Genomic DNA, 24,185 nt, shown 5'->3' on the forward strand with positions numbered 1-24,185 from the left:
ACACTGTCGTCTATATAAGTCATTTTATATTGTCATATATATATATAGATATATAAATGACTTGCTCTTCTGTGAAACATGAATATATATATATGACGAATGTTCAAGAGAAAACAACAAATAAAGAAATATTTATATATGAAAACCTATAAAAATTCAGTTAAAAACGTTGAGTCGGTGGTATTTAACCCAAGACACCCCTGCTTCCTCCGTGCCAGCTCAGTGAGGCATAGACCTCACTTCAGACTGCTGCAAGGGAGAACTGGGGCTCCCTCTTTCCCACAAATCCCAGTCAGAGAGTTTTCTTTCCTGAAGAAGTATGACATTAACATTTATCATCTTGCTTCTACCTACCTGTTTCTAAGCCCCAAGTGAGTACAGTAGTGAGGTGGTGTCTCCCTTTTGCTGCCAAACCACCTTCTATATGGCATGATGAGAATACTAGGGCCCAGATCATTCTTGCCTCAACTTACGGGGTATTGATTTCACACCAGGAGAGGCAAATGGAGAAGACCTCGGCTGCCACTTCACCCACTCTCCAAGTGATTTTATATATAGAAAGTCATAAGGAATTCCCAAAAACCTATTATAGCTTTTTTAATTTGACAAGGTTGAATCCTGTATTGTTGAAAGATATATGATCAATGTACAAAAATGAAGTTTTATTTCTATACACTTGCAATGAACAATCTGAAAATAAAATTAGAAAAACAATTTCACTCACAATGGCATGAAAAATAAAATACTTAGGAAAAATTATAATTTAGAAAAGACACACAAAACATATACTCTGAATACTACTAAACATTTGGGGAGAAAATAACAGCGCTCTAAATGAATGAAAAAAAAAGTACCTTCTATTCTTGGAGTGGAAGACTTAAAGTATGTAAACATGGCAATACTCTCCAAACTGTCTCCAAGATTAACATAATACATATTAGAATCCAAGCTGACTTCTTTACAAAAAGTGAAAAACTAATTCTAAAATTTTAATGGAATTATATAAGTCCCAGAGTAGCCAAAATCATCTTGAAAAAGAACAAAGTAATATGGTTTACAACTTCTGATTTCAAAACTCATGGTCGCTTAATGGTATTCAAGACAGTGTGGTACAGGCCCAAGAATAAACATATGAATTAATGGGATAGAATGGAGTATCTAGCAATCATTTCATACAGTTATGGTCAACTGATTTTAACAAATGTGTCAAGATTATTCGACATAAAAAAGACAGTCTTATCAAAAAATTGTTTTGGAACAATCTGGCATCTCCTCAAATGATTAAACATAGAATTAATATATGACTCAGCAATTCCACTCCTAGGTGTATATTTTAGATAAAGAAAAACATATGCCCATACAAAAGCTTGTACATGTGTTTGTAGCATCATTGCCAGTTTTTGTTTGTTTGTTTTTGTTTTCATTTTCTGATCAGCTGCAGTCACGTAATTTTTGTTCGTGTTTACTTTAGTCTTTCTCATTGGTAGGTAGTAGTGTCTCATTGTTTTACTTTGCAATTTGCTGATGACGAATGACATTGAGCATCTTTTAAGAAATTTATTTGACATCTTTATATCTTCTTTGGTGACATGTCTGATCCGACCTGTGTCCCATTCTTATTTAAATTTAAATTTAAATTTTAGATACAAGGGTTATATGTGCAGATTTGTTACATAAGAATATTGCAGGATGCTGAGGTTTGGGGTATGGATCCCATTAACCATAGTAGGCATAGTACCTGGTAGTTTTTTAACCCATCCCTCTTCCATCCTCCCTCTAGTAGTCTACAGTGTCTATTATTCCCATATATATGTCTGTATCTGCTCAATACTTAGCTCCTACTTATGAGTGAAAACATGCAGTACTTGGTTTTCTGTTCTTGCATTAGTTTACTTAGGATTATTGCCTCTACCCATAACGAATATAAGCAAAATCATCTTTAAATGTATTTCCTTTATATCAATATTTATATCTATGTGATCTAGAAATGAAATGTTAACTAAATGTGTAATATGAGTAAAATAGATATACAATATGTCAACCACTAAGTATTCTGCATTTACAAATATTACCTTATTTATATTTTCTCTTTATCCCTTTGTAATGAGTTCTATTGTAATCCTCATTTAGCAGGATAACTCAATCAAGAAAGGCTTTAAGTAGCTTCCTCAAGTTTACACATTCAACAAGTGTTGTTTTTCATTCTAGCTTCAAAATATATTCTGTCACCTGTTTTGTTATTCTGTCTTTGAAATATTATTGTAATGTAATACAAAATATATTTTCAATGTGTTTCTTATACACTTAATTTTTAATACTCTTTAGACTATTATTCAAGGTATAATATGTACTTTAGATATATCCCAATCTTATGAATGTCAATTCACATTTCAAAATATTAATATTTAAAAATGTTAGCTAAATTTAGTTTGGTTTAATTTTTATGTGAATATCGTCTTATTCTGTGGCTGAGGAATTCACAAACTATGAGATATGTAAATCCTAACAGTTTATTTTAGTTCTTCTTGTCTGTACATTATGAATTTTTTTTGCTTAGTACTATTATACAACTATTGTACTTTGTAAGTAGTACTTCACTTAAATTCGCCACCATAATCAGTGTTTGAGTCCAATGAACTTCAATCTGCAGACTTTCACTAATGGTAAACAGATGATTAGGGTTTACCACTACCAACTACTAAGTCCAGCTTAATATGTTCTTTTGTTTTAAAATACTTTGGTAAATGTTACTTTTTTATCAAAATTTGTTCTTTCTCCTTCGTTCATATCATTTTACATCATGGTCTTGGGCTTTTGACTTGCTTTTCTAGTAAAATGTGATGACATACATTTTACCTGAGCAGACACTTTAAATGTGCTTCCATGATTTAACTTGCCATCTTTTTCTTCTGCCATGTTCCATGTGAATGGTGTATATCAAAGATACAATGGGCATTCAGTCTGTGTTCTAGAATAGATTATAAGTGAAACAGGAAACACGGTTGATATACAGATGCATGAGAAAGAAATAAGTGTGTTGTTGAAAGCCACTATATTAGTCTGTTCTCACATTGCTATAAAAAATACTTGAGACTGGGTAATTTAGAAAGAAAAGAGGTGCAATTGGCTTACGATTCCACCGCATATATGGCTGAGAAGGACTCGGGAAACTTACAGTCATGGTGGAAGATGAAGGGGAAACCAGTCACTTCTTACATGGCCAGAGCAGGAGGGATAGAGAGCGGCGAGATGCTACACATTTTAAACAACCAGATCTCATGATAACTCCCTGACTATTTTGAGAACAACAACAACAACAAAAGGGAAATCCACCCCCATGATCAAATCACCTCCCACCAGGACCCACCTCCATTGCTGGGGACTACTTTGACATGAGATTTGGGTGGGGAGACAGATCCAAACCACATCAGGCACTGAAATTTTGGAATTTATGTCATGCAGCATCATTACAAAAATAACTGACTAATGCAAGTACCTCGGGTGTCATATCTTTCCCAGACCAATGGATGAAGTGAGGACATTAACATGAGCACTTGTGAACCATTTATATGTATAAATACTTATCTTCTTTACAAACTAAGGAACATTCCTGAAATCTATTAGAACAAAAGTCATAAAGAAAATTAGCAATCCACTGGCCATGTGTAGAAAACAGATGTAATGTCTTTGACCTTGCAATTTTAATTAATGGAGTATTTTCAGGGTAATTAATGTGCAACATGTAAAATCAGGAAGATTGTAAGTTAGGTGTCTGAATAACTTACCTTTTGAGAAATCTTTTCTATCACTACGTGGCAGCCATTAACTTTCTGCTTAGATGGCCATTCTCTTTTTTGCTTGCTACACTACATGCCACTCCTTAATATTTGTCAACACTGAAGTCAGTGCTCATTGGTCTTTATTATCTTGCATATGCTGTTGCTTTTTCTATTCTCATCTGATTCAGGTTAAATTATTAATCCATGGATGCATGTCTTTGTTATATCATTTAGGAAGCATAAAATCATAAATATGTTACAGTGAACTCATTTTAGAAAAAAGTAGAGGGCTGTATGTTTATTTTAGTTACCAGGTTTTCTGAGAGCAAAAAAAAAAAAAAAAAAAAAGAAAAGACTCTTTAAATTTTGAAAATTTCTCCTAAAGCTACTTGAAATATTCATTTCATTTACAATGCTTTTGTTGAATATCACCAGTGTTTCAGCTCCTTGACTAGTTTCTTAATAGCAGTCAGCATCACCTGAAATGATAAATTAAAAACAGAACGTCAAGTGCTCTTTAACTTCAAGGCTCATTTAATATAACTGATCACTATGAAATCAAACAATAAACAATTAAAAAGAGATCCCGTCCATATAATGTATATCAAGTTTTTTAATTGTCTTCATTAGGGATGCATGAAAAAGCCAAAATGTCTTCTGGTTGCAGAAAGTAATGATCCAGGATAAAAATATATCAACATGGGAGAAAAATAACTCCTAAAACGATTTCTGAGTTGTCACCTGGAATTAGAATTATCTCTCCATAACCTAAAGTTGTCAAACCTTTGATTCAGTTATTAAATGTGCAGATGATTAAAATACAGGCAGGTTAAAGAAATCCAATTAACAGTGTAGATTATTTTCAGAAGTGAGCTAGTAGTTTACGCATATTGTGAGCTACTTAAAATGCTTCACACCAAGGAAGCCTAGATAAATGGTTTTATGTAAAAGGAAACTGCAGAGAGTAGGCAAACAAAGCATGCTCCAATAATATTGTATATTTCAAAACAGATAATGTTTTTAATATTATATTTCTCAGTGTTGGCACTATTGATGTTTGGGTCTAGATAAATTTTTGTTGTAGGGGGCCTCCACTTGCATTGTAGGGTACTTACTTATTAGTACTCCTGGCCTCCGAGTAGTAGATGCTCCTACCAATTCCCTGCTTCAGACAAACAAAAATGTCTGCAGATATATTGTAAATATCTCCTGGAGAGTAACATATGCTGCAGTTGAGACAAACAGTTTCATACTGTACCTCTTTTCATATTAGAACACATATCCTATGAGTATTCAACAATAGGAAAGATAAATATATATTATAAATTTATTTAACTAAAGCAAACAGGGATTTAAAAGAATCATTTACTTACATTTTAAAATCGCATACAATGAAGGACAAGGTACACATCCAAAAGTATTATAGTAACCTTAATCCACTTATTCAATTTTATTTTATCATGACAGGTTAAAATCTTACTAAGCATAAGCACTGTGCTAGGCATCCAGAATAATGGACAGCAAGCTGCTTGCAAGTTAATTTTGGTCTCATTTATTTATAATTAATTTACTTACATTATTTTCCATGTTAACATTAGGAAATGTCTAATGTTTAAACGATGGTATTAAGAGAGTTATTATTTGAGCAAGGCTGTGTCTTCTGGCAAATGTATGTATTTCAAAGAAAAATGTCTATTTTGCAAATATTAGATATCAAATTTGCTTCTATTCATGGTAAGCAGATAACAAAAAGGCATACATTATTTCTTAACATTGAAAAAGCTGTCATGGTATTTCCTCTGCCAATGGCAACATTTACCACAGCATCACTGAGCATTTGTGGCACTTTTTCTGTGTACCACATTCTACAATCAAAAAATACTTTGCTTTTATGTTTCTCCCTACCTTTTCTCTGGACTGTCAGAAACTTGAAGCCAAGGACCAGTTCTCTACACTGCTTTTTATTCTCATTATGCATCACATTTTGGTGCAGGGTAGATGTCAGTAATATATGATAAATTATTTTTAACTTAAGAGTAAATTATGATTCATCTTTCTCAAGTCGACCGTGGACAGCAGGAAGAGTTTAGGAAACAAAGTGAAGAACAAGTTTCACCTAATCTTATGATTTCTTCTAGTACCTATCCTTATTTATCACTGTGTTTCTCACTTTACTACCTTTCTTAAACTCATTTTATTTGAAGAAGATAATTCAGTTTGAATAATTTTGCAAAGAGAAAGCTTATCTTACTGTCAGCATGATTATGTAGCTTTAGAGATCAAAGGCTTTTCCCAATAAAGTTCTAAAATCTTTATGTCATTTCAGAGAGCCAACTTCGGCTGACACTTTCTCTTTCTTGCTGTACATTATTAAATGTGAAATATGTGGCCAGCTTATTCCAATGACCTATGTTTTTTCCTGCAAACTTACCAGAGTCTATCTCTCTATAGATATATAACCTGAATCTCCCTCTATAGGCATATAACCTGCGTCTCAAGATGCAAAAGGTATTAGCCTAACAACTGAGTTTTCTACCACACATCGCAGCTACTGATCACCCAACCAGAGAGGGAAGAATCCATAGTGGTCCACACCACACTTCAGATCAGCCAGTTTCATGTTTTCATGCCTATAGTTCATAATGCTATACTAATATCTACATTTGTTAGAATTATTTAAGTCACAATGACAAGCATTTTCGAAAATGTTTTGTAAGTTTCTCATTTCATTAAACATATGCCTTCTATAATCTGGAAATGCATTCCTAAAGATATATATGTGTATATCCCCCCCCAAAAAAAAATCTTGCACAAGAATGTTCACAGCAGCCTTATACATATTAGTCAAATGGTGATCAACAGGAATGCGAAAACCCAGTTGTGATATACTTAATAGACTACTACTTATCAATTAAAGAGAATAGATTGATGATGTATTTAACAGCATCATTGAATCTCAAAAACATCAGCAAATAAGGTAACAAAAAATAATTTATATTCTAAAATTCCTATTACATGGTGTTCACAAATAGTCAATCTTTGGTAATAAAAGTTAGAATACAGTTTACCTGCGTGTGTGTGTGTGTGTGTGTGTGTGTGTGTGTGTGTGTGTGTGTGTTTGTGTGTATGTGTGAGGGGGGATGTCTGCCTGCATCTAATGATGTAAAGCCATATTTATTTAAGTGCTTTTACATATGCAAACATTTACTAATCTGTATATTTGCGCATTTTATTGCATGCAATTTTGTTCAAAAATGTTGTAACAGTGAAAAATAATTCAAACTGGCATTCTAAATGCATTGGCTCATGTAATTGGAAACTAAAAAAAAAAAAAAATCTGGCTTTTGGCACTGCTTGTATCAGGGGCTGTGTTTAAGCCAGTGCTCTATTATTCTTCTCTATACCTCTGAACTCTGATTGCTCTGATTAGTGTCATTGTAATAAGCCTTCTCTGTAGGATAACAGGATAACGATCATAGCATTGGATTTACATCATAAAAACTTATTTATCCTAATTAAAAATGAAACAAATGTAGTCCCAAATATCTGTAGAAAATAAGAGAGTTTGAATTACCTAGGCTTAGATTATAAGACAATTTTAAATAGAGTTTGAAAATTGTAATTTACACTTAATTGGTGATGTAGCATATTGGGCTTCATCAGAACATGTGCAATTACTTTCCCGTAGGGAAGGGTTATCTGGAAGAAGAAGAAAGGAAGAAAAGAAGAAGAAGAAGGAAGAGAAGGAGAATAGACATAAGCATGTGTTGTGGAACACATATTTATGTTCATGTCACATGTAATAAAAATTAACACTGTGAGAACTAAACTAACATTTTTAATAAAGGTAGAGAATGACCAAAAAACAATCATTGATGATGGAAATTAGGAGGTTCAGACAGTGGTATTGTCTAATGGCTAAAGATAATATATTTATATTATATACATGTGTAATGCAGAAATTTTGATATAGAAGTGTCATTGAACTCTGACATAAGAGTGACATTACATCTAGAACCTAAGAAAATATGTAGCTTTTATTTTAAAAAGCTTAGGGGCAGTAGCAGTATTAGAGAGCTTAGTCTCAATTGATTTCAGGAAGTGGACAGACAATTTGTCATTAGACTAGGGAAGGAGGGGTATTTGTGTACCATTGACTTGGGGTTGTAGAATTTCAGAGAAATGGAGAAGGAGAGGGATAGTTATAGGGTAAGTCATGAAATAGAAAACACAGAAATTTGAGAATAAATAATCAAACCAAATAGATAATAGGAGAGTCTGTATAATGTGTGGTTAAGAAAAATGACAGAGATTGGAGGGTAATGAAATTTGATGGTCTGAAAATGTCAAGCTGATGGAGAATTTTTTCTCATTCATGCGCATGACTTTTCAGCAAAACACCTCAAAATAAGATTATGTCTGCATCTATTATTTTGATTCATCTTCTTCATTTTTCTATTGACGCTAGTTAAATCTAGCTCTTGCCAAAATACATTTTTTTCAAGTTAAACGCTTACCTCCAAGCTGCTGTTTCCATAGCTAAGACTCAGTCTTCATATTACTTGATCTTGCTGCAATATTCCTTTACTGGGAACTATTTGTTCTTACTTGCACCCCATTGCATCTTAGTTATATTTATGTTGCGTTGGATGTTGTAAGTGTCTAAGTTTCTCTTAGCTGGTTTCTCTTAGTCTCTTGACACATAAAAGTCTGAGTGTTCCAGGACTACTTCTTAATCAGAACTTTCTCTAGTAGTAACATATAGTATTGCATGGGCTTAAAAGCCATTTGTAAGGTGATTTTCTCATTAAAATGCAAACTCCTATATATAATGCCCTCTTAACATCTTCACTTGTATTAAGCCCAAATCTAACAAGTCCTAAACAAAAATCGTGGTCTGGTCTTCTCATGTGAAAATAGCTCCCCTACAGAAATCTCAGCATAGTTAATGTCAGTTCAAGCCACAGTCTAAAATCATTCTTCTGGATCACTTACATGCACTTCTGACTGTCACTAAATACTATTCCTTCTACCTTTAAATTATGTGTAGAAAATGTCACTTCTTCCTTTACAACCTGATCATCATTACCACTATCTGTCACCTTAGATTTTTGTGATAGTCCCCCGGACCTCTCATCTCTGCCCTCTTCTCTATAGTTCACTCTCAACACAATGGCTAATGTGAATTTTTTAAACCTCTTGAACATTACTGTCTTTTCAAAAGTTTGAAGCAGCTACCCAGGTCACTTAGAGAAATTTTTTTTTTTTTTGCAAAGACTAAAATGCCCACTACATGATAAACTTAATTCTCACCTAACACCACTATTCTGATGCAGTCTGCTACCACTGTTTCCAAGAATCCAGTTTTGATGCACTGTCCTCCTTGAGCCTATTAGATATGCTCTCATGCAGATTGTTTTTACTTTGCTTAGAAGACGCTTCATCCTGAGACTTTGCTGAAGTTGCTTATCAGCTTAAGGAGATTTTGGGCTGAGACGATGGCGTCTTCTAGGTATACAATCATGTCATCTGCAAACAGGGACAATTTGACTTCCTCTTTTCCTAATTGAATACCCTTTATTTCCTTCTGCTGCCTGATTGCCCTGGCCAGAACTTCCAACACTATGTTGAATAGGAGTGGTGAGAGAGGGCATCCCTGTCTTTTGCCAGTTTTCAAAGGGAATCTTCCAATTTTTGCCCATTCAGTATGATATTGGCTGTGGGTTTGTCATAGATACCTCTTATTATTTTGAAATACGTCCCATCAATACCTAATTTATTGAGAGTTTTTAGCATGAAGCATTGTTGAATTTTGTCAAAGGCCTTTTGTGCGTCTATTGAGATAATCACGTGGTTTTTGTCCTTGGTTCTGTTTATATGCTGGATTATGTTTATTGATTTGCATATGTTGAACCAGCCTTGCATCCCAGGGATGAAGCCCACTTGATCATGGTGGATAAGCTTTTTGATATGCTGCTGGATTCGGTTTGCCAGTATTTTATTGAGGATTTTTGCATCGATGTTCATCAGGGATATTGGTCTAAAATTCTCTTTTTTTGTTGTGTCTCTGCCCGGCTTTGGTATCAGGATGATGCTGGCCTCATAAAATGAGTTAGGGAGGATTCCCTCTTTTTCTATTGATTGGAATAGGTTCAGAAGGAATGGTACCAGCTCCTCTTTGTACCTCTGGGAGAATTTGGCTGTGAATCCTTCTGGTCCTGGACTGTATTTGGTTGGTAAGCTATTAATTATTGCCTCAATTTCAGAGCCTGTTACTGATCTATTCAGAGATTCACCTTCTTCCTGGTTTAGTCTTGGGAGGGTGTCTGTGTCGAGGAATTTATCCATTTCTTCTAGATTTTCTAGTTTATTTGCATAGAGGTGTTTATAGTATTCTCTGATGGTAGTTTGTATTTCTGTGGGATCGGTGGTGATATCCCCTTTATCATTTTTTATTGTGTCTATTTGATTCTTCTCTCTTTTCTTCTTTATGAGTCTTGCTAGCGGTCTATCAGTTTTGTTGATCTTTTTAAAAAACCAGCTCCTGGATTCATTGATTTTTTTGAAGGGTTTTTTGTGTCTCTATTTCCTTCAGTTCTGCTCTGATCTTAGTTATTTCTTGCCTTCTGCTAGCTTTTGAATGTGTTTGCTCTTGCTTTTCTAGTTCTGTTAATTGTGATGTTAGGGTGTCAATTTTAGATCTTTCGTGCTTTCTCTTGTGGGCATTTAGTGCTATAAATTTCCCTCTACACACTGTTTGAATGTGCCCCAGAGATTCTGGTATGTTGTGTCTTTGTTCTCGTTGGTTTCAAATAACATCTTTATTTCTGCCTTCATTTCGTTATGTACCCAGTAGCCATTCAGGAGGCAGGCTGTTCAGTTTCCATGTAGTTGGGTGGTTTTGAGTGAGATTCTTAACCCTGAGTTCTAGTTTGATTGCATTATGGTCTGAGAGACAGTTTGTTATAATTTCTATTCTTTTACATTTGCTGAGGAGTGCTTTACTTCCAACTATGTGGTCAATTTTGGAATAGGTGTGGTGTGGTGCTGAAAAGAATGTGTATTCTGTTGGTTTGGGGTGGAGAGTTCTGTAGACGTCTATTAGGTCTACTTGGTTCAGAGCTTAGTTCAATTCCTGGATATCCTTGTTAACTTTCTGTCTCATTGATCTGTCTAATGTTGACAGTGGGGTGTTAAAGTCTCCCATTATTATCGTGTGGGAGTCTAAGTCTCTTTGTAGCTCTCTAAGGACTTGCTTTATGAATCTGGGTGCTCCTGTATTGGGTGCATATATATTTAGGATAGTTAGCTCTTCTTGTTGAATTGATCCCTTTACCATTATGTAATGGCCTTCTTTGTCTCTTTTGATCTTTGTTGGTTTAAAGTCTGTTTTATCAGAGACTAGGATTGCAACCCCTGCCTTTTTTCGTTTTCCATTTGCTTGGTAGATCTTCCTCCATCCCTTTATTTTGAGTCTATGTGTGTCTCTGCATGTGAGATGGGTTTCCTGAATATAGCACACTGATGGGTCTTGACTGTTTATCCAATTTGCCAGTCTGTGTCTTTTAATTGGAGCATTTAGCCCATTTACATTTATGGCTAATATTGTTATGTGTGAATTTGATCCTGTCATTATGATGTTAGCTGGTTATTTTGCTCGTTAGTTGATGCAGTTTCTCCCTAGCCTCGATGGGCTTTACAATTTGGCATGTTTTTGCAGTGGCTGGTACTGGTTGTTCCTTTCCATGTTTAGTGCTTCCTTCAGGAGCTCTTTTAGGGCAGGCCTGGTGGGAGCGAAGGATATGAACAGACACTTCTCAAAAGAAGACATTTATGCAGCCAAAAGACACATGAAAAAATGCTCATTATCACTGGCCATCAGAGAAATGCCAATCAAAACCACAATGAGATACCATCTCACACCAGTTAGAATGGTGATCATTAAAAAGTCAGGAAACAACAGGTGCTGGAGAGGATGTGGAGAAATAGGAACACTTTTACACTGTTGGTGGGACTGTAAGCTAGTTCAACCATTGTGGAAGTCAGTGTGGCGATTCCTCAGTGGTGTAGAACTAGAAATACCATTTGACCCAGCCATCCCATTACTGGGTATATAACCAAAGGATTACAAATCATGCTGCTATAAAGACACATGCACACATATGTTTATTGTGGCACTATTCACAATAGCAAAGACTTGGAACCAACCCAAATGTCCAACAATGATAGACTGGATTAAGAAAATGTGACACATATACACCATGGAATACTGTGCAGCCATAAAAAATGATGAGTCCATGTCCTTTGTAGGGACATGGATGAAGCTGGAAACCATCATTCTCAGCAAACTATCACAAGGACAAAAAACCAAACACCACTTGTTCTCACTCATAGCTGGGAATTGAACAATGAGAACACATGGACACAGGAAGGAGAACATCACACACCGGGGCCTGTTGTGGGGTGGGGGAAGCAGGGAGGAATAGCATTAGGTGATATACCTAATGTTAATGACGTGTTAATGGGTGCAGCACACCAACATGGCACATGTATACATATGTAACAAACCTGCACATTGTGTACATGTGCCCTAAAACTTAAAGTATAATAAAAATAAATAAATAAATAAATAAGTAAAGAAGATACTTCGTTAGATATCCACATGGATTGCCCCTCAGTTTTTCAGAAATCTGTCTATCTATCTATCTACAAACACACACTACATACATACATACATACATACATACATACATACATACATATATGCGCATGCACATGCACATGGAGAGAGAGAGACAGAGAGAGAGAGAGAGAGAGAGAGAGAGAGATAGGGATACAGGGAGGGAGGGAGGAGAGGAGGGAGGGTGGGAGGGAAAGTTATTTAAATAAATACACACTGCTGTAACAGAGTGTCTTGTTTTCAAAAAGTTCTTTTTCTCTGTCTTTTTCTTTTCTGACCATTCCTTGTCTTGCCTTTAATAATGACAGAATAGTCTTTGTTTTCCTTCTTTCCTCCAGGCCCACCCTTGTACACTGTTTCTCCTGTCTAATTGTGTGGTTGTTTAGAAGTTCCAGATATTAAATCTTGAAACAATTCAGGCCATTATGGTATCCTGTCTCCCCACCTAGGGATTACTTCAAGGCTACATTTAATTTACAGCACAGCTGCACCCAGGATGATGCCAGCCGATTCATCAGATGGGGCAACAGCTCAAGATAGTCATTGGAACAAGTCATATAGATTGGCACCCCTTTATCACTCCTGCATGGTTATCAGACGATGCTCCCTTTCTTAAACCCTTGTCCTTGACCCAAATAGCTGAAATAGTTCCATTAGGGCACAAGCCTCAAGTATTTCCCCACTGCTCGCTGTGGAAATAAAGTCACTGTCCCTTCACTGCACTTTGTACTTTTTATTGGCTTTGCAAGCAGTGAGCAGCCAAGCCTGCACTCAGTTACAATGCTACGAATATTAGTTTGTTTCATTTTATTTTTATTTCAGTTGGGGTTTACATGAATGAACTTGGTAGGTTCTATGCATTTCCATATGTAATTACTAAGAGTAGAAAGGAATAAGTGTGACTTCAAAAATATCGTTCAATCAAAATCAAAAGCTGGGAGAAAATAATATAAGAATTTCTTTTTTCATGTACAGTGTGGAAATCTGGCTAATCAAATAGCAACACAACCTGTTAATAGGATAAAGCTGAGATTTTTGCTTAAGGGAAAATACAACCTCACAAAGCTTTGGTGGTGTCTATAGGAAAAATATCAGAATTAATTAAGAATTTTAAGTTTGGTTTAAGGCAGGTTTTTCAATGTGGCGATCAGGATTAGGTAAGAATTGAATACAATACTTCAGAAGTGATAGAAACAGCAAGAGGAGGACTTTGAGAGAAGTATTAAAATAATCTTAGGGTGTAATCCATTTATTGACACTTTACATTAAAAAGTTGATGGTTTCTCAAGAAGTTCCTGTAAGGAGCCGTAGAATCACTGCTAGGGCAGGACATTCTTAGAAGAGAAAAGAAATATTAATAAAAACAGTGGAATAGCAAAACAGTGTCAAAGTGAAGAGTAAGGTGTAGTTCAGATTATCAGAGTCCAGCTTGAATATGGGATTACCCAGTTTTGAGGCATTGGTTCTTGTTGATTTAAGTCTAGTGTATTTTTATCTAATTGATGAGAAGTTACCCAGTTTACTGGATTCCTAGAATCACTACTCTTTAAGTCAATATAACTCTCTCTTCTATGTACTTTTAATTCCCTTGGAGGTTTTCTCCGCATTCTCAAAACAATTTTTTTTTTACTTTATATTCTGTGTGTGTTTCCCAAATTAGTATTTGTAATATTTTCTTTAAAAGAAGTCTAATTTTTTACAATATATTTAAATATTCTTAAGTTTATAGATCACAAAGTGTACAATTATTTGATTATTCTTAATAACATATCAAAATATATTTTATCTTTTATTTTATAAACAGTTTATCAATACATGCTTATTCATTAGCAAATAAATGTTATATTTATATAGAGTACATTAGAGTTGAAATAATTACCTATGAAATTGAGACATGCATATTTTAATACAGAAGGCTTTTAGAATATGTTTTTTCTTTTCTATTTTTTGTTTGTCTGTTTCAAGAAAAGAAGATGCTCCATTATACCAACGTTACTTTTCCACTTCTTCCCTTATCCCCTTTCCTTGGTTATAGAAAGTTTCAATTATTTTATATTTTAAAAGAGGGACAATTGAACTTACCAAGAAATATTTGCTGTATTCTTGAATCCTTAAAGGAAGGGATACTATTGAGCTAGTGGTATATCTGATGCAGGTGTTAAAAGAGTTACTTAATAATCAGACTCTAAATATAACTACAATCGGCCAAACTTTGCAGTCATGTATGAGAACAGAAACAGCTCTTTATAGCCACTCATGCACACACACAATCCTTATATATTTATTTGCCATTTTCTCATTAGAACTGTTTACATGAAGTACTAATTTGTCATCCATGTCAAAACCATTACACTTACTGAAAGAATCCTACAAAGCATACCACAGAACTGTTAAGGTAATATTATATAATTAAAATTATTTTTGAAATCCCTCCAGAAAATAACCCCTACAGAATTTTGAATTCAATTTTAGTAATTATTGTAATTATGGAAAAATTGTCACTTGCATTTTAGGGCAATATGCAAATATTATTCAGCAATAAGTCTAGAGAAGAAGAAAAATAATTAAGATATATTATACTACATCATTTGAAAATAGTGTAAGCAATAGATAAATTCTAAAATTGTTTTGAGCAAATAAATATTATTGAATTAATATATAGACTTTCAAGGTGAATATTTTAAGGAATACTATACTTTGAGCTACATAATTTCTAATGGATAGCCAATCTAGTGACACTGCTTTTATATTTCACTACTTTATTTCTTCAGAAAAGTCTGTTTGTGAAGAAAATTAAAAAATAGTAATAATAGTTTTAATACTGTTCCTCTGCAACTAATAATAATAAACTGGCAGAGAAAAATTATCTTTGAATTATTTTTTCAAATTTTATGAAAGTGAGATTCACACACACACACACGATTTCGCTAGATACAGGATTAGGTCATAAAACACTTTATAAATAGGAATTTTGACTTCATTAAATATTAAGACCATTCAAATATGATGATACAAAACTAAGGATATACGTTGAAGTTATATAAGCAAGGTAGACTTGGTGCTGCAATTAACTATGTGTATTAGAGCTGAAAAACCACTTAACCTCTCTGGACTTTATAGCAAATTAATACAATTCTCCCTGATTGTAGAGTAATAAAATACAAGTTCTTCCTACTTCACTGGCTTTGTAATGGTCAAATTAGATAATAGATTTGTAAAAGCTTTGTACATCATAAAAGTTTTCCCAAACAGGTATTCTTCATCTACTTCATTCAGTTTTCACCTTATAAAATTTTCTCCATCTCAACTCTTTAGGGTTTGGCCTGTCTTAACTTGAGTCTTATTTTGCCTCCAATTTTCTCTCCAATATTAAACTGCTTTGTTAGAGTAATATATTTAATTCTCTAAGACACTGCAGAAAACTACTCAGTTCGTGAGAATCAACTCTATATGATACTCCTGGAAGAAGAACAATGGAAGGCACTTCTTTCATAATAACCACGATTCACGCATTAGGCTGCTGCATTTTTCGTCTGTAATTTTTTACTCTTTCCCACAATATCAAGACCTATTTTTCTCCTCAAAATGTCAGTTCCATATTTCTTCCTTTGTTGAAAGATTACCAGTGTCCCAGTTTCACAAAGTTAGGCAATTATAATACAGAATCCATTTACTTCCCAGTAATTGGAGTTCAGACATTGCTGTGGGAATAAAAGCAAGACTTACAGTTCATAGTAAAGAACAAAAACATATCATACAGCTTGTGCAAAAAGGGTAGAATGCTACTTGGCCTCAGTGACACTCTGAATATCAGTGTAGAATTTTAATTGCAGCTTGCCTTCTTTGTAATAAAAAAAAAACATGTTCTAAACATTTTTCAATAGATTTAATTCGAAACTAAATTAAGACTCCACAGTATGATTTAAGTTGGCACAGCTAATGTCTCATGCCAGAAAAAAAAGCAATCTATAGGTAACGTTGTGCAGTTATGTAATATGTGTAATCACTGATATCATGAGTGTCATTAAAATCAATTAAGTTACATTATGAAACTAGTAATTTATGACAGAAACATCACCAAATAATGAGTGTTATATGATCTATTTTAACTTCTTAATGGCACATACTTCTTTTTAATGATCAAGAAAGTACCTGCGTTGGTTCACACTATTACCTGTGTCCCAAAGTCACTTATAATTCATTCCCTCACCAGAAGAAGAGATTTGTTGTTTATGGTGAAAGTCATATCCAAGCAAAGACTAGAATTGTTCTGCTAGCCATTCCTTTCAAAATCTGTCACTCTAAAATTCATGCACAAATACAAACCAAATGCTTTATAAGTTTCTCCTTAAAACATTTTTGAAAGCTACTTACTAAAATTTAGATAATTATCAGTAATTCCTACACAAATAATTTACCTACCAGCTCTCACATCTTTGTTCTGCCCATCAAATTATTAGATCTTTATTTTATTTTCTATTTCTTCAGCCTCGGAAGCAATTCAGAGTCACATATTTAACAATGTGAACTTTTGCAGGGAACAGTAGTTCTTAGCTCCAGCAACAGTACTTTCTATGGGATCTGCCTAATTTATTCAAATAATTTTTTAGAATTAGGTTTAGGTCAATTTTTCCTATTTATGAATACATTTGTTCGTTCTAGCACTTACAGTGTTGCAACCATGTTAATAATTTTATCAGCATGGTGCCAGTCATTTCAAAGACAAACTCCATTCTGTAGGTAAATCCCTTTCTCTTCTCAATCTAAATAGCTGATCTGTCACTACACGCAGATGTCTTGCCCCTCTTCCTATGCCTGGTTTATTCTTATTCCTGCTATCTTCATGTCACATTAATACTCTTGGAAATAAACCTGGCTACACAGTATAAAGAAGTGTATTTAGGTCTGTCATTTCCTTTTTCACACCATAAAAACATTTGTATCCTCTTGTTTTTCCAGAAAGCATTCTTAACAATAACCTGCTTCACAAAATATTATTCTTTCCCCTCCTGATCATCTGGTTATCTCAACTGAAAATTTTTCACTGCATACATGCTACTGACAAGAGCTGCATAACATATTCCAGGGGAATATATATATAATATAAATACATATATAAATTGACAATTTTGACAATTATATATGTATAAATTGACAAATCATAATTGTATATATTTATGGGGCACAATGCTAGTTTTGATATATGTATAAAATGTGAAATGATTAAATTAAGCTAATGAACATATTCATTAACTTATAACTTTTTGTAATAAGACATTTGAAATTTACTATCTTAGTTATTTTGAAGTATCCAGTAGATTATTGTTGACTACAATCAACGTGCTCTACAGTGGATCTCAAAACTTATTTGTCTTTGCTCACTAAAACCTCGTACCCTTCGACCAACAACTTCCCATTCTTTTCTTCCCCCCCATCCTCAGCCTCTGGTAACCATCATTCTACTCTTTACTTCTATGAGTTTAACATTTTTAGATTCCACATACACGTGAGATCATGTGATATTTGGCTTTATGTGCCTGGCTTATTTCTTAGCATAATGTCTTCCAGGTTCATCCATGTTATTGCAAGTGGCAGTAACTCCTATTTCCTATTTTTTGAAAGGCTGAATAATAGTCTTTTATTTATGTATACCGCACTGTCTTTATTTATTCATCTGTTAATGAACATAGGTTTATTTTATATCTTGGATATTGTAAATGACGCTGCAATGAGCAAGGAGCACAGATATCCCTCTGACACCTCAATTTCAATTCTTCTGGATCTATACCCAAAAGTGGGATTGCTGGCTTGTATAGGAATTATATTCTTAGTTATGTATGTGTGTGTATATATATATTTGGAACCTCCACATCATTTTTCATAGTGGATGTACTAATTTACATTCCCACCAACAGTGTACAAGAGTTCCCATTTCTTCACATTCTCACCAAAGCTTGTTATCTTTCATCTCAGTTTTATTTACTGTTATACTGGTGGTCCCAGAAACCAAGATAAGACAAGAGAAAAAGAAATATATTACAAGAGAAGACATAAAATAATCGTTGTTTGCAGATAACATGCTCATCAATGTAGAAAATATTAAAGACAATAAAAAATTCCTATGAGAATTAATAAGGAAGTTTAGCAAAATCACATGAATGCAGCCACATGTCAAAGATCATTAAATTATACATTCTAAAGGAGTCCTTTTTATTCTATGTAGAATTTTAACTCAATAAAACTTATTTTTAGAGTAACTGTAATATCACAGAAGTCAATATTTATGAAAACATATAGATTTCGAATGTATTCTGATATAACAGTCGATCCGGAAGAAAAGATATTACACAGATTACACAGAGTGGCCGTATTTTAGGCCCTTTGCTATCTTGCTCTCAAACTTGAAATGTTATCCCACCACTTTCTTGTCCTAAGTCTCTACCTCATTCCTCAGCAACTTCCTATTACTTACTCCTGGGTAATACAGTCCATATTCCATTTAAATATGTGTATTAGAAAATAATTTGGTCCACATCAGTTATAATAATTTTACAAGGAAATGAAACAAAGGAACCATTTTAATTCAAAATTTTGAGAACATAAATTTTTAACATAATATTTTGTTATTTGCATAACATAAAAGCACCTTATTTTCCAATAGAAGTAGAAGTAATTGCAGTAGAGTTAATTTTACAGTAGAAGCAATTACAATAGATTTCCCATTAGAAGAAACTACTACAGGAAGCAACTACTGCAATTTTCCAGAATTAATTACAATGGTAAAATTAAGTTGGCCAAAGTAGATAAAATTATAACTTAATTCCACAAAATAAGCTAACTAAATCAAGCACTGACAACTTTGAAGGAATAATCTAAATAGAAATGCACGGCATAATTTGCCCCTGACTTATGATGATTCAACTTAAGATTCTTTCTTTAATCTTAGAATTTTTTTTTTACTTTATGATGGTGCAAAAGTAGAAATTATAATTTAAATTTTGAATTTTGATTTTTCTAGGCTAGTGATATGTGATATAATACTCTTTTGTGACGTTGGACCATGGCAGTGAGCCGCAGCTCCCAGTCAGCAATGCGATCCCAAGAATAAACAACCGATTCTTGACAGTGTCCTATGTTGCCAGTCGATTTTGTTCAACAGTAGGTACATGTAAGTATTCTGAGCATTTTTAAGGTTGGCTAGGATAAGCTGTGATACTTGGAATGTTAGGTGTGTTAAATGTGTTTTGGATTTCGAGTATTTTCAATTTATGATGGGTTTATTCAGTTTATTTACAACCCCACTGTAAGTCATGGAGCATATGCACAGGTTTTAAAACAAATTTTGAGAATATGAGGTTGAACAAAAGAAAGCAGACTCAAGAAAATATGTTTTTTTTAATAATTCCATTAATATAACACTCTAGAACCAGCATATCGGTGTATTCGTAGAAGTGGGTTACATTCCAAGTGACTGGAGTATACTTTTAGAGGTGAGGAAAATACTGTATATTTTTGTTGTGGTGTTGGTTATACAAGTGTCTATGTTTGTCAGAACTCACCTAATTTTAAATTTTAAATTTTAAATAGATGTATTTATGTTATGGAAGTAGTCCTCAAAATTTTGAATTAACCGTGATTAACATGTTTTGGGTAATATTTTGAGGTGTTATTGATGCATTTTAAAAAGATTTAAGTAAATGGTGAGTTGTATCATATTTATATATTTGAATTTGGAAATTATTTCTGAAGTTGGAATGCACATTCAACAAAATCCTTTTTCTTTTCAAGGAAATGCAACTTGCATTGTGCTGAAATATCAAAACACATACGCAGGTTTGTGTATTTTGTTGCAGGTGTGTGGCAACATAAACTCATTTTTTATTAGTGTCAATATAAATTGGCACAACTATTTTGTAAAAGGATTACATAAGAATACTTTTCTGGGATTTACTGACATTAAAATACATGTGGAAAAGAAAAAAAGTGATAATAGACAAGGGTCACAAGACAAAAATAAAAGTCATATTTTTGGACTATTTCTTTTAGTGTAGAAGTATGATTTCTGACAAAAGTTCCAAGATAAATCAAAGATAAAAGAAGAATAAGAAGAGTATGTATAAAATGAGATTAATGTAACAGAACATAGATCCCAGAAACAAGCCACTCAAATAAGAAGTTATGACATAAGGAAGAAATAGGACTGCATAGAAGTAGGGAAAAAGAGATCTTCAATAAATGGTAATGAAGCATCAATGTAACCACATGAAAAAATGTTTTACTTCATTTCAAAAAAATTAAATTACAGATTGATTAAAGATGTAAATATGAAATAACAAATGTAAATATTTGGTAAGACAATATTGGAAATTTTTTTCATTATGTCAGGAAGGGAATAAACAAAACTGAAAAAGAATGATAGAAAATTTATCTTATATATTTATTTTGTGAATTGCTATTTATAAAAAGTATCTGACAAGAAAGTAAAAACAACTTGCGACAGATGGGAAATATATTTGCACTGCATACAACTGACAAAAATTAAACTAAAACAGACATCTACCACATAACAACGACTATTATAAGTCAATAGGAAGACATATAATCCAGTAGGAAAAATATGTAAAAGATTTTAACAAGTTCTGCATGAAAGAAGAAACCTAAATGATCAATAAACATTTCCAAAATGATAAACGTTTTACCTACACAGAGCTGTTAAATCAGAAACACCTGAAATAACATTACATGTGCATAGATTTGTCTGTTTTGTTGAGGCTAGGAGGCAGCAGGGGTGGAGTTTGTGAACTGGCACAACTGAGTGGAAATATTTTGAAATTTTCTGTTGAATGTGTACCGTGTATGACCAAATAATTCCATGCCCCTTTATACCTTTAGGGGTAATTGTGCATCTATGTCCCAGGATACATGGACAAGAATGTTATAGCTTTATTGTTTATAACAAAGGTTGCCAACATTTTTGGCACCAGGGACAGGCTCTGTGGAAGACAATTTTTCCATGGGTGGCAGTGCAGTAGGGTAGATGGTTTTGGTATGAAATTGTTCCAACTCAGATCATCAAGCATTAGATTATCATAAAGAGTGTGCAACCTAGATCCCTTATATATGCAGTTCACCGTGGTGGTTACACTCCTATGAAAATCTAATGCCACTGCTGATCTGACAGGAGGTGGAGCTCAGGCGGTAATGCTAGCTAGCCCACATCTCGTCTTACCTCCTGCTGTGGGGCCCAGTTCCTAACAGGGGGCCCCCGGGTTGAGGACCCCTGGATTATGATATCTTTAAACCAGAAACTACACATATGCTCATAAAAATTAAAACAAAAAAAGTGTGTGTTATATTGACATACTAAGATACTTTTCAATACTGAAAATAAACACATTACACCTACATGAATGGACATATATAAACCGCCCAATCATGGTATTTAACAAATAATAATTACACTTGGTTCAATTTACATGAAGTTCAAAAACAGGTAAAACTAAACTATATGTTTTATGTAAGCTATTATAACATATTTGGTAAAGCTGCAGGGAAAAGTAAAAGTCATAATGGTGATTATTGATAGTAAAGGCAGAAGATATGATCAACTAGGGACATTCCACAGAAAGAGAGAGAGTTCTAAAATATTCTAGTTTATATCATTGGATAAAATTGCATAATTGGTTTTATTAATGTTTCCTTTAATCTGAAAATATATGTACAGACTGCACAAAATATATTCTCTATATAATGTTTCATATTTTAAAATGCAGCAATGATTAAACAGAAATATAAATCAGTTAATATCAATAAATTTTTCTGAATCAAAATATGATTTGAAAACAAAATATTGTATGATATCTCCATACAAGAGCAAGAAGTGGCAGAAACAAGTGTTTTTTTTTTTTTTTTTTTTAACTAGAAGAACCCATTTACCAAGGGATACCTCAGCACTTAAACTAAAGAAACGGTTAAATGTCACAGTAGGAAGACATTTTATGAAATGATACAGTATACCATATTTCAGGCAGGGTAAACTCAGGACATTGCACCAAGCACAAGCACAAGAGATTCAGAAGTAATTGTATGAGTTATTAGTAAAAAATGACTTACTTTAGCATATATTTTCCCCATATTATGCCAGGAATTATAAGATGCTATTATTCGTAAAGATGATGGTACAGCTCAACACTCCGTATGTATGTTCTGTCTGTTCAAGGGTAGAAAGTAAGGATATTAGCTGTTTTGTAGTCACTTTAGATAATACAGCCAAATGGTTAAATAAAAAGCAGGAGAATGAGACAAGTGTTTAGAGAGGAAAAAGCAGAACCTTTAAGAGAAAGTTTGTAAAAATTACCACAGAAGATTTATTAGGAAGCTTGAACCATTTTCAGAAGCCAGGCCCACGTTTGCAAACACAGCCACTGATGGAAAAATAACTATGGAATAACAAACAGAATTTCATCATGAAAAACTGATTGGATGGGCATCTGAACTCCCTTTTAACACAAATGACTAAGCCAGATAAGATGATGGAAACAAGTACTTAATAGCAATTTTATCTAAAGAATCAATAGCAAAAATAGTGAGTACAATGACCATATCTTGTCATCTTGTATTTTCCTTTTCCATAAGTAAGAAATGGTTATACGATTGCATAAGATATTTAAAGGTAGTCCCCAAAATAAGCGGAGAAAAAAAAAATCCCATTCAGCTTGGGATTGAGAATAGAAACAACATAAAATTTAGTTTAGAGAAATGACTAAATGTAAAATTACTTAAATGTAAAATGTAAAATTATCTAATGTACGGACAGTTTTCTGTAAACATATAGTCCCTAATGAAGGAGCTAAAATTATACCACCTTTGGCATATCAACTATCATGAATTAAAGGCACTTGAAGAACAGCAGGTGCAAAAAGAACATTCTGGCCTATTTTCTGTTTCCTAAAGCAGGAGATGAAAGTCCCATGTGAAAAACACGCTCCCCAGACTGGAATAAAAGGCAACATTCTTATCTTCAATGATGAGAAGTTGCAACTTAGAAAATACTATTAGAATTCTAGACTTTATTAGAATAACTCTTATTTTTTAGCCTCCCCACGTAAGTTAGTTGCTTCTTCACAGCTTACTACTCTTTGTCTAATTCAGTATCTAACCGACTCTAATTGTTTCCTTGGGTCTTCATTCCTTTCTGAAGGCCCCAATGCCACAGAAAATGTGTGTTAAATAAATTTGTGTGCTTTTCTCCTGTTGATCTGTCTTATGTCAATTTAATTCTCAGGCCCAGACAAAAGAAACTCTAAAAAGGAACTCTAGCTCCTCTAATTTCTGGCTAGAAGGGATTTTCAGAGTGACTGGAACAATACTTAACTCTGCGATTGTATTGCCACTGGGAGATACTGAGCCTCTGACAAAAAGCCAGCAGTAGGAATTCTTACCATGTCAGCCTCCAAGATCTCTGCCTGCAGGGGCCCATCAAAGAGAGAGTGATAGAGTCTCTCATTGTTTTTTTTTCTCTTTCTTAATTTAGATTATCAGGAGAAAATATACGTATGAGCTAGTTTTCTGGGTACAGTGACTCTGGTGTTTTGTGTTATAAGTAGAGTAACCTTGTTTTCTGATTGGTCCTTTCCCTGCTGGAGAGGGTCCTTGTCTTCCTTCATCTCTTGTGTTTTGTGTAATTTTCATAAAGAGGAGAATCACAGGGCATGACACAAGTATAA

At 33.8% G+C, this 24,185-nt stretch overlaps 1 long non-coding RNA gene across 2 annotated transcripts in view; it reads left to right on the top strand.

Moving 5' to 3' along the window:
- LOC105371657 (uncharacterized) overlaps positions 1–24,185 on the top strand; it is a 453,818-nt gene that overhangs the window by 138,489 nt on the left and 291,144 nt on the right. For both annotated transcript variants that reach the window (XR_002958413.2, XR_001738343.2), the window contains exon 3: positions 19,478–19,627. This is a non-coding gene — a long non-coding RNA (uncharacterized LOC105371657). The remainder of the gene's footprint in view (positions 1–19,477; positions 19,628–24,185) is intronic.

The sequence above is a fragment of the Homo sapiens genome, chromosome 1 (genome assembly GCF_000001405.40).
Source record: "Homo sapiens chromosome 1, GRCh38.p14 Primary Assembly".
NCBI classification, from domain to species: Eukaryota; Metazoa; Chordata; class Mammalia; order Primates; family Hominidae; genus Homo; species Homo sapiens.